We start from the raw sequence: 12,718 nt of genomic DNA on the forward strand, positions 1-12,718 counted from the left end.
CTGTTCTTAGTTTGGATTAATTTATGTTTCTTGGATGCTGAGATGTTTGATTTTTTTTTTTTAACTGAGCATAGCAATGAATCTAGGTTTGTTTGTTTTTTCTCAAAACAGTATATGTTGGCTAGAAATCTTTCTTGGATTGGAGGTGAAAGGAGGGAGGCAGTATGCATGTTTTTTCTGAAAAATGCCATTTACTTTCCATGTTTGGCTCTGATGACACAGCTCTGCTCTGTTAGAGAAGAGTGAGGCGCTGGAGAAGCTGCTGGAGTGGGCGTGCCCATTCTCATAGCGCACCTCCAGTTTCTCTCCTTAGAGGAGCTGGCCCACATGCTCCATCCTCCAGTTTGTGAGAGCTATATAGATGGCATTCTGCATCTTGATAATTCTACAGAAAGTATTTTTAAATCAAGAGAATTCTTGTCATAAGAGTTGCACTCGATTTTTCATTAACAACTGTAGTGGGTTGAATAGTGTGACCCACCTGCCCCCCTGCCAAAATTGTGTCTATCTAAAACCTCAGAATGTGACCTTATTTGGAAATAGTTTTTGCAGATGTAACTAGTTAAGAATGGAGATAAGATCATACTGGATTAGGGTGGGCCCTGAATCTGATGACTGGCGTCCTTGTAGGAAGAGGAGAGGCCACACAAACACATAGAGGAGAATGGCATGTGAAGATGGAGCCCCCCAGAAGCTGAAAGGAGAAAGGAAGTATTCTTCTAGAGCCTTGGAGGGTAGCGTGTTCCCACTGAAACCTGGATTTCAGCCTTCTGGCATCTGTAGCTACGAGAGAACAAATTCCTATTGTTTTAGGACACCAAGTTTGTGGTCATTTTTTTTAGCTCTGGGGTACTAATGTAACAACCAGCCCAAAATGGCAGAGATTGAAGGTCTATCTCCCATTGACCTTCAGCTTTAGGTATCCTCAGTTTATCTAGGTTTTATTTTTATTTTTAGAGATGGAGGTCTTGCTCTGTTGCCCAGGCTAGAATGCAGTGGCCTGCTTATGGCTCACTTCAGACTCAAACTCTTAGGCTCAAGCAATCCTCCCACCTCAGCTTCTTGAGTAGCTGGGACTACAGCTGGGTTCCACCACACCGGCTATTTTTTTTATTTTTATTTTTTGTAGAGACAGGGTCTTACTATATTGCCGAGGCTAATCTCAAACCCCTGGCCTCAGTTAATCTTTATCGAGGTTTTAAACTGCAATGTTTATAATCAGTGCAGTAAAAATTTCCGTGTGCAAAATGTTCCTGTGTCTGGTGCACCTTTCATTTTAATTTGGCCAATATATAAGCAAATTTACCAGCATCCTATACCACTGGAAGAAGTTTTCCGTGAAAAACTTAATCTGAACCTTTGGAAATGGCCTGCCTACTGCTTTTGTTGTTGTCCAAGTGAATTCATTCATACTCTCTTTCTCTCTCTCTCCCTCCCTCCCCGCCCCACACCCTTTTCTTTCTTTCTTTTTTTTTTCTGTTGCCTAAGCTGGAGCGCAGTGGCATGAACACAGCTCGCTGTAGCCTCAACCTCCTGGGCTCAAGCAATCCTCCTACCTCAGCCTCCCTAATAGCGGGCACTACAGGAGTGTGCCACCATGCCTGGCTAATTTTGTAAAATTTTTTTGTAGGGATGAGATTTTGCTATGTTGCCCAGGTTGGTCTCAAACTCGTGGGCTCAAGCGATCCTCCCACCTTGGCCTCCCAAAGTGCTGGAATTATAGATGTGAGCCACCACACCCAGCCCCAAAGTGAATTTTCAGATTCCTGAAACCTGCTTCTTTTTTTTTTCTTTCTTTTTCTTTTTTTTTTTTTTTTTTTTTCTGAGACGGAGTCTCTGTCGCCCAGGCTGGAGTGCAGTGGCACAATCTCAGCTCACTGCAAGCTCCACCTCCCGGGTTCACACTGTTCTCCTGCCTCAGCCTCCAGAGTAGCTGGGACTGCAGGCGCCCGCCACCACGCCCGGCTAATTTTTTTATATTTTTAGTAGAGACGGGGTTTCACCATGTTAGCCAGGATGGTCTCGATCTCCTGACCTTGTGATCCGCCCACCTCGGCCTCCCAAAGTGCTGGGATTACAGGTGTGAGCCACTGTGCCCGGCCAAAACCTGCTTCTTATATAGCACCTTGGGACTTAAGGAATGAACTGTGTCTCTGAAGTATTATATTTATTTGTTTACCTTTGTCAGCACTCAAGGATTCAGGTTAGAGCATCAACAAAGTTGAAAACCCTGCAAAGGATGCAGGGTGATATTGTATGGCTGTGTCCTTTGGAAAGTTTACTGGGAAACATAGCATTTGGGGCACAATATGCTAGTTCACACTATTAGGGTGAATAGAAGGTAAAGTCGATACACAGATACTGAGAGCAAGAAAAAGAGCATCTTTCAAATGAGAAATGATTCTCTTGGTCAATAGAGATAAATATACAGTATCTTGGTGGCATTGATTCAGGCCCTCCAACTTTGTGCCCCCAGCCCTGTATTCTCAAATGTGTACTAGAAGTTTAAATCCAGAGAAGTTCAGGTCCTCATGCTGTGAAACTCAATCGTGCAGCAGTGATATTTTCATATGAAGGGGTGGCAGAGGTACTTATATGTTTGAGAAATGTTACTGAGCTCCTGCAGTCTTGCACTTCAATGTGATGTTATTTGCCTAGATTTCTTGGAACAGGGTCCCTCTTATTTGCTGCGAAGAGCTCCCTTATGGCGGGATTGGCCCAATATAAATGGAACATCATTACTTCAGAGTAGTTACTAGTAGCTCTTGCATTAGCAGGTACTAAAAAGGAATGGCAAAATGTGGGAGATTTTTCCTCACAGAATTGCTAGCTAATTCTACCAAAGGGTCCTCCCAACACAGATGGCCTCAGGACCTCAGGACATAAAACCAGTTTGGAATGGAGAATCACTCTGCTAGTGTAGATGTCAGTTGTGCACATTTAGGAAAATCTTGCTGGTATCCAGTAGAAAAAAACATGCTTTCCCATCCTTCCCCGGCAGTGCCATGTATGAGCCAGGCTTTTCTTGGCCTAAAGGACTAAGCTGGGGGGTGGGGGGTGTGTTTGCAAAGGGAAACATTACCAGTTTGATTTACTCTTCAGAGTAATCCTATGCTTTGTAGGCCTTGGTATTATTAATGTGCAAATTATTATTAGTCTTAATTTGGAGACTGAGGATCAGAAAATTAAAACGACTCACTCCAGGTGATACAATGAGATAATTAGTAGAACCTTCTGAGGTACAAAAGGAAAGAAGTGGAAAAGGGTGTGAGTGTGTGTGTGTATCTGTAAAAGTTGGGGATTTTGTGGGGGATGGTTTCTGCTTTCAGCCATGTAATTGCAAATTTGGAGGGACTCCTGTTCCAGACAAGTGGGGGAATACCCAGCACCCAATATCCATTCAGTCCATTCTGTAGGGTGGAAACTGATGTGTGATCTGTCCTGTTATGTATTAAGCACTTGCCCCTTGATAATCATGAAGGGGACACAGAGACAGCCATGACTCTCCTCTCTGCCCTGATACAACTTACTGTAATTAATAATATGGATTAAATAATTTTTTTACATGTATTTACTGAAAAATTTTATGTATCCTGTTCATAATTTTAAAAATGCAGATGTGGCATTTTGTAATCTGTCTTACACATACATTCACTGAGTTAAATTGCCTTATTCTTATTATTTAATATATACATTGATTTTGTTTTGTTTTGTGCTTGAGTCAGTGATAAAAGAGGGAAAAGCTTCCTTGGTCCTGCACTGTGTCATGGACACTCCAACTTTATCTTAATAAAATAAGATGGAGTTTGGGTTTCTCTTGGGCCAGTTCTGTATCTGTAATAACACTCTAAGCTGTCGACATAACATCCATCACTGCCCAGACCAATTGCTCAGAGCCCATCGATGTTGCCCATCATCTGTCTGTGTGCCCTGCACAGCTGGCCCTGAGTGCCAGCCTGTCTTTCTTACTCCAGCTGACAGGGCTAATCAGGGTGATCAACGTGGCCTCCAGTCCTCATGGTGTAGTCACTAAGTGGATTTACTTTGCTTAATATCCATATGGAGTAACTGAATGGGCAGTGGAGATTTTAACTAAGTCCTGTGCTGGTTAATCTGTGCGGGAGTGGAAAAGAATGAAACATTACTGTATCCGTATAAACAAAAGCTCTTTGGGACTGCACATCCTAAACCAAGTGTGTGTTTATAGAAAGTGTAGCACTTTAGAATTATTCTTCAGATGATTGTCTACGGCTAAGCATGAAGGGAACTATTGGTTTGACAAATGCAGGAAATCATTTGTTCTATTTTCGCTGAAAATCTCACAGGTCATAAGTCAAAGAGAAAGGTAGTATCTTTTACATAGCTGATCCAGTGATCTAGTGATGGTTCCATCTACCAAAACCAACTTACATTCATGAGCATACTTTTGCAGTATTGCTGAGATAATGATTCTAAGTTCACTCTGTGGTTCTTATATGAAATCCTAGACCTTTATGGAATGAGAATGCATCGTACCTAAATTAAAGTTTAAATTGTAGCTAATCTATGTCAACACCAACTGAGATCGCCATTTGGTGTTGACAGTATTCCTGGAATTACTGTTAACATTTATTTTGCCCAAAACTCAAAACATACATTTCCTTCTAATCCTTTGTTTCTTGGCAAGTTGACCATTATCAGGCAGTTTTCCACTTGATCCAGAACCTATTTCCCTTTGGTTTTACTGTTTCTTTTAGGTTTATGTATTTCATTTGGAGATGAGAATAAGTCCGGTGAGATAGCAAAATATGAGAGAAAGGCATATGGACTCTTGGTTTTGGAAGATTAGTTGATTTGTCATTCCACTGAGGATTGACCCATCAAACTCACTGCTGATGTCACATCTGCCTTTAGTTGGTTTTTTGCTTTAGGTATTACTGTACTTTTTCCTTTGCTGTCAATCACATGATGGCTAGGATTCAGGATTTTCACTGTATCCTTAACTACAGAGGAGCACAGGGGATCCAATACCTCACATGGGCCTGAGGATGGACCTGCTCCAAGTGGTTTGATAATAGAGCTACACGTGAGTTTTGTATTCCACTCAGAAATAATATATTAGTGTTGTTTTTAAATGGCCAAATTAACTCTAACCTTCATTAGATCCAGGAAGATCCATGCTGTTTGGCTTGCACCTTTGCAGGCTCTTTGCATGTGGTCACATTTTTTCATATTTGTACCAAGTTTTAGAAAATTAGTCTTAGCTGGCTTGCAATATTATTTTTCTGATGGATTTAAAAGTTATGTATTACTGCCAGAAGTTCCCTGCTTCTCAGCTGATAGAGTAAACCTCCACTGCCCTTCCGACTGAATCCCATCCTAGGTCCCTACAGAAGGACGGAGTGTTCTGTCCCTGGGAAGCCTTGAAGTGGGAAGGTCTCATAGGTGATAGGACGCATGAATGTGCTGTTTTACAGCTTTGTTTCAGAAGCTTCATCATTCATTGTTGACATTGAAAGGCATAAGATTTTCTCTTTTAGGTGCAGATAGGAAAGAAAATATCACAGAAGAGCAGAGAAGGAAGAAATAGATAAGCTTTGATGGTTTTCCTCTGCTTGTCAGGTTGTCTTAACACATTTCTCTTAAAAGCACTGGAGTGCTGAGTTAATTCCTCAGTAGTCCATTCTGTGATGTCAAAGGGGTGTGGGGGTGTCTGCATGTGTGTACGCACACAATTACGTACATAAGCACATGATGGCAGTAAGGGCAAAGAGAGTCTTGCTTTAAAAAGTAGGGTTAAAGACTGGTAACACCACGTCAATGTGACAGCTACTGACCAAATAAGAAAAAAACAATGCAGCTAAGAACGATTAAGCCTGTCTTAATCAGAGGCTATTGCCTTGGTTCGCTGGAGCATGGTGACCTAAAAGCTACTTGTACCAATAATGTCTTAGATTGCTTTCACTTTCTCTTTTTTAATTTTTATTTTTTGGCTGCCTGAAGGGAATATTGTTGTGCTTTCAGGATGACTGGAGGATTCAGGGGTGTGTGTTATTGTGCTGGAAGTCAAGGCTGATGTGAGCGTATTGGTGGGGGAAGTAGCGTGAGGACCCATCTGCAAATGTTGCTTGCATCTTGCAAACCACACAGAACTGTGGGGCTTGGTTCTTCACTACTGAATGTGCACATGGGGCTTCAGACTATGACTCAGGCCCATGACCTACTTTTCTGGTTACTCAAGGCTGAATGAACCCTTTAGGAAAGCTTGGCCAAGATGGAGTCATCTTGATCACCCCTGGAACCTTTCAATGCTGTGGCCTGTTGTGGAGTCCCCTCCACTAGGGTATGGTTGGGCTCTGCTGGCTGCAGTGTAAGCTGAGGATTTTTTTAGTATCAGAGACCAAATTAATTCATCCTTGTAATTGAATTAAAGGTAAGAAGGCATAGGCTGTGGTTACAGCAAGAAATATGGGGAAATGCCCTCTGCTACGAGATGGTCTTGGAGGTTTCTGCATCCATGCTGTTAGAACACGATGCTGCTCCAGAGCCAAGAGGAAGCCAGCAGCAGCTGGGAACAGTTAGGCTACTGCACGCAGGCGAGGGCTGGGGGAGGACGGGAACTCCCGCAGCATATGTGTTGGGGGCTGAGGGTGAAGCATGGGTTGATGCCGATGGGCAGAGTGGAATTTTAAATGGAACCACCTGTCTTTTTAGAGAATAAGACTCTCTCAAATCCAGGCAATTCTGGGCTTCTGTGTTGCCAGCCTGGCTTTCAGACTGTGCTCTGGTGATGTCGTTTCGCTGGAGAGGGCAGAGATCTGAGTGGGCAGAGTGGGCAGATGGGAATGGATGCTGAAGGAAGGACTGTAGGGCCCACTCCTGTGTGAGTGTGCAATAGAGGGGGACTGGGGATGTCTAGGCTGTAGGTGGGGTAGGGCCTGAGTTCCCCATGAAATCTGTCCTCAAACACTAGGCAGATGCCACCTTCTTCCATGGGTCAAAGGGCAAGTTTGAGAGAGTCTTCCTATACCCTTGACTTCCAGCCATTCATCTTAATGACTTGCAAGCATTAGGGATTATGGCACACATAACGATATACATGACAGATTAGCAAATATAGGTACATAGAAGACATTTTAACAGGAGCTGGTCTTGCATTTGAGGCTTTTTAAATTGTTGACTTTCAAATGATTTTATAGGTCACCAATTCTATCTTGTATTTTCTGGAGTTGTGTTCTCTGTGCTTAGGAAAATATAAACAATTATGTTTGTTGCTTTTCATCCAGTTGAACAAACAAAATAAAAACCAAAAGTAGGTATTTCAGGTTCATTTTGCCTGGAATAATCGCATAAATAGTTCACTGACATCTGACAGTATGTGATCTCTTGCTCCCTGGAATATTATAGTCAAAGATTCAGGTGGGCCAAAGCACTACTGACTTGAATATGGAAAATGAATTAACATGCTCACTACCGCCCTTCATTATTTTCTTCTCTAATTGTAATTATATCCTCAATCCTTTGAAGCAATTGAACATAAGAACCTGAGACTGAAGTTTGCATTTTCCCTGATCTGGGCAAGTCAGCGACAAGGATGTGCACCTAGACATGATGGCATGGGCTGCTAGAAGGCCACTCTGACATCACCTGGTCCTCACCATTTAGTTCACAAAGGAGGAACGTGAGACTCAGAGATGATAAATGCCTTGTCCAAGGACACACAGCTCTTATTAAGGGCCCATTTATTGCTACTTGGGAGGCTACAAAAGTAAGCTTTTAGTTAGATCAGATATCTGTGTCTACTGGTGTGAGGTTGACATATGGATGAAACTGAAGATGGCATAAATTGTGTTTGCTGGATGGTGGACACAGAGGGAAGAAACTTGAGGAGTGTAGGGTTAGTTGTAGCGCAAGGACGAATACCAAGGTGTTTCCTCTTGGCAGATATCCAGTTACATTAACATAAGTATTTTAAACTCTGCTCCGCTAAAATAGGATTGTGGATATATTGCTGGGGTTGCAAGGAAGGGCTAAGGTAAGTGCTCATGATAAAAGAATCAAGGAACATCTTGCTTTTTGCTTGCTTGTGCTGGCCACGCCTTTATTACACATGCCTTTTAAAATTTCATCATCACTGAAGGCTAATGCAGTTCTAGTAGTTAGGCCATTTTGTTTCTTGGCAAAAGAGAATTCTTAAGGGGATGATCCATCCTCTTGGATGTGCAGGAAGGAAGGTAGATATTAAATTTTCTATATTGTTGTGCCTTTTGGTAGGGTGGAACTATACCCAAGCACCTCAGTTGCTTTCATCAGGAGATGAAGTGATAGGTGTTCCCTTTCTGTCTTGCTGTCTTTGTTGCTCCTGATGGAGGGAGTTGGTGAATTTTGGGGGCTAGCCAAAGAGGGAATTAGGTAAGTATAATCTTTATTTGTGTTTTTTACCTTATATTCAGAATGGTAACATTTAACAGTTGTAATTATCCTTGAAATAAGCAGAGATTCATCATATACAGAATTATCTTGTGAAATGTTGATTTGTGCTTCCTAGAGGCTAACACAGAAATTGAACTGCTGTGTGTGAGACACATTATTTTAAAAGTCGAAAGAGCAATACTACATGCAGGCTGAGGGTTTTTTCTCTTAGCCATACTAGAATTACCTGTATTTATTTGAGTTTTAAAAATTGATTATTATGCCGTTACATCATTAGGATCAAGTATGTTAATTTTCTTTACGTTTTCTAATTTCCCTAAATTTTCCTTTTTTTTCTTTAAGAAAGCATCTTGTTAAAACTTCCAGAATTAGTGATTTTTATTAGGCAATTTTGGGCTCGTTTTACTCTCTTAATTCTTTCCAGGTGGGGCTCATGTTCTGTTTCCTTTGCCTGTGTCATGTGCAGTTTTAGCATTGGAATTTAATCCATGAAGATTCTAATTATGCTATGAATTTCATTTTCAATAGAGAAAATTACAAAAAGGGCAAAATCACACAGGAACTGTCAACATGGGAAGCAAACATTCTCGTTTTCTAGAGTCCCAATATAGAAATCAGACTTTCATAATTGTGTTGACATACATAGGTTCTTTAACTGAGAAGTCTAAGATTACCAGTAATGCTAATTGATGGTTATTGCTCAATTTAAATCTCATATTGCAGTTACTTAGTCTTGGTAACAAGGTGTGGACTATAATTTTTCTCCTTTACTAGTAACTCACTGTGTAATTCTGGGGTAAGGCTAAAATGGTTGTAGTTTTGAAACTATTCATGTACCTATGGGGGCTTCCCTGCCCTTTTAAAGCAGCAGATTCAGATTTCACGGTGTAGGCATCCCAGGGTGACTTGCATAGGCAAAACCCCAATTTACACAATGCAAATTACACAGGAGCAAAAGTGTAATAATACTAAATACTTAGAACATCATATATAGTAGGACTTCCATAACGTTTTGTTGAATTAAGTGGAATTATTGTAAACATGTATGAATTACAGTAGAGATTATATGCTTTTTCTAAGCCCATGCTAAAATAAAGACATTTTTCATAGAAAGATCTATATTTTCAGTCTCCATTTTTGACCCTCATAATTAAGATCTAGGATTAGAAGAAGGGGTGAGCATTCCTGTGTACAAAGCATGGAAAGACAATCCAGTTAATGAGATCACGCACTGGAGCAGAAGGTTGCATATTGCTGGCAAAACCGGAGCAGACAGTCCTGGCAACCTTATGGGATTTGGTCACAAAATGATACTGCCCTGTACCTTCTTCCACTCTAGGAATTCCCTGTCCTGATATCTGCAAAGTTTTCCCAGATGATCCTGGAGACTTAACCTATTTGACAGCATAATTCCCAGTTTTCTATTTTATTTATCAGAAAATTTGATAGTGGTGCTGGGCACAGTGTCTCTCACCTGTAATCCCAGCACTCTGGGAGGCCAAGGTGGGAGGTACGAGGCAGGAGGATTGCTTGAGCCCAGGAGTTTGCGACCAGCCTGGACAATGTAGTGAGATCCTGTCTCTAAAAAAAATTTAAAAATTAGCTTGGCATAGTAGCACATACCTGTAGTCCCAGTTACTTGGGAGGCAGAGGTGGGAGGATTGCTTGAGCCCACTTGAGGCTGCAGTGAGCCATGATCACGCCACCACACTCCAGCCTGGGCCACAGAGTGAGACCCTGTTTCAAAAATAAAAAATAAAAAAGGAAATTTTGGTGGTAGACTTCATTTAGGCTCTGCCACTTCCTTGGTGTCACCAGCTTTTTGTGACCTTGGATGGAGTAAATGAGATAAACATTGTGTGTCTGGCACATAATGTGTGATCAGTACATGGTGATATCATTTCTCTGTGAGATAGTGCTTCCATGTCAGCCATCTGTGACAGTTCCCCAGGTTATACCGATTCCAACTTCATGCTTTTCCTAAGAGAAGAACCCTAGGCTGAGCTTCGGGAGGTGTCTTGGTGTTACCTACTGTGAATTTTGTTTTTAAAGCTTTTTATTTTTGACCTGCCCTTTTGTGTTGATGTCTGTTAGTTTTGTGTGCTTTTCCCCCAAATGAGGTATTTTCCAAAGTTGTCCTGACATTCCAAGGTAGGGCCGTATAAGGCTAAGCCATGAGCCCTTGGAGGATAGCAGTTTTATTTTGTTTGCAAGAGTGTGACTCAAAACATGTGTCAGTAAAATGTTAGTTCCCTTTAGAATAATTGATATACTGATTTTACATATTTTCTGCTCATCTTTCAAAGTGTATGTTTTTGAGTACATTTTGTTTTTGGGACCCAACAAAAGGCAAATATTAAATTATTTTAAAATAAGTAGGGTAAAGCCCCAGGCAGCAGTTAAAATTGAGAGTCCTAATACATTGAAGCTTTGTGAAAATCCCTTAGAAAATACATGAGCATTTTAAAGGTAATTGAGGGCACCATAGATCATTTTAACATCCTTTTCCCATTGTTCTTAATCTAGAGAATCTCTTCTATGTCTTTAAAGTCAGGAAATTATCTTTTTTTGTTTCTTTGGTGGGGTTATTTTCAGTTGTGTCGTGTATATAACGAGCTGCCAGAATGATCATTAGTAACACTGTAAAATCACATCTACTGTCACAGGTAGCCTTTCTGTAACTATTGGAAAAACTGGAAATATGGCACCAACTAATCATCATTTTTGCTTATTAGTAGGTTGACTATCACTTGGAAAGAGGACAGGTCATTTAGGTAAAGCCAGATTTTAGGTATCAGAAGAGAGATCCAGAAAACAGACTTGGGTTTTAGACTAGATGACTTCTAAGGTACTTACCTTCCTTAAAAGTTGTCTAGGCTAAAACCCGGTGAGAAAGTTGAGGAGGGCCACTCAGACATTTTTGGTGCTGAATGAGGACTTGACTCCCTGATATTTTTGCTTTTAAATACATCCCACTCTGTTCCCACTGGCCCTGCGGTCATACTGGTGGGACTTAGCCCTAAGAGAGCACATAACTCAGAGGAGGAGAAGTGCCACAGACGTCGGGATCTCATCACAGAGGAAGGTCTGTGAGCAGCCATTCTCCAGCAGTCCGAGGCCAGGTTTGTTTTGACATTGATTTTTTTTATTTCTGTTACTGCTCTCTGGAGGTATATCACAACAAGATTTAATGAATGTTTTTTGGTCTGCGTTTATTTGATGCATGACCTGGTGATTTGAGTTCCACCGTTACCTTTTTTTTTTGGCTTTCTGATTATGTACCACATAACTAAATCAATAAAGAAGAGAATGGAGAAACAGCTCTGTTTAACATTTCAGGGGTGATGGAGTAATGCTGTCTATAAATATTTATATTTTTCTGAGAAGATGTCTTTTTCTTTTTGACATTCAGACGAGTTCACCAAGAGATTCATCACTAAAGAGAGGGGGAGGAGTGTGAAGGGGGAATGAAAAGACATCTTCCCCCCAGTAAATTTCTAGATGTCTTTCGAAAGATAAATAGAAAAGAAAACTTAAAAGATTTTTTCATTTGAATAAGCCATTTTTTTTTCTAAGGCATTGAAATGCTTAGCTAGCCTTTTCTCACCCAGGATAGTAACAATCAGGGGAATATGGATATATAACCAAAGGATCCCCAAAAGCAAAATAGACTCTGTTGGCTTGCAGCTTCCTATGAGTTCCGCAGCTTCTCATACCTCCCAGGTTGCAGTCTCTCTCTCTCCTTTCTGCCTCCTCTCCTTGTCTTGACTTCAGCCTTGTCAGAGCCAAATCACTTCCTAAAGGCCCCACCTCTTAATACTGTTGTATTGGGGATTAAGTTTCAACATGAATTTTGGAGAAGACACATGCAAACCGTAATAGAGGAAGCTTGCTCAGTGGATTCCTAAGTCAAGATGCCTTCTCTTCTCTAGCACAAATAATCACTCATCCATTATTTTTTCAGGTTTGATAGTTTTCTTCCTTTCTTCCTTTCTTCCTTCCTTTCTCTTTCTTTCTCTCTCTCTTCCTCTTTTCTTTCTTTCTTTCTTCCTCTTTTCTTTCTTTCTTTCTTCCTTTCCTTTCCTTTCCTTTCCTTTCCATTCCTTTCCTTTCCTTTCCTTTCCTTTCTTTCTCTCTCTTCTTTCACTCTCTCTCTCTCCCTCTCCCTTCCCTCCTCCCTCCCTTTCTTTCTCTTTCTTTCCTTCTTTTTCTTTCTTTCTCTTTCCTCCTCTCTTTCTGTCTTTCTTTCTTTCTCTCCCTCCCTCCCTCCCTCCTCCCGCTTTTTCTTCTTTCTCTCTTTTCTTTT

General features: G+C 41.0%; 1 protein-coding gene across 2 annotated transcripts in view, besides 1 other annotated feature; it reads left to right on the forward strand.

The window, feature by feature from the left end:
* The window catches only part of TLN2 (talin 2), a 454,082-nt gene that overhangs the window by 228,487 nt on the left and 212,877 nt on the right, over window positions 1-12,718 (forward strand). The window lies entirely within an intron of this gene.
* Window positions 5,968-6,107: an enhancer, noted in NCBI's record as "active region_9523". NCBI's record gives its function as "activates an Ori minimal core promoter by ATAC-STARR-seq in GM12878 lymphoblastoid cells {active_cell/tissue: GM12878}" and the evidence as "EXISTENCE:reporter gene assay evidence [ECO:0000049][PMID:35858748]".

This window comes from Homo sapiens, chromosome 15 (genome assembly GCF_000001405.40).
Source record: "Homo sapiens chromosome 15, GRCh38.p14 Primary Assembly".
NCBI lineage: Eukaryota > Metazoa > Chordata > Mammalia > Primates > Hominidae > Homo > Homo sapiens.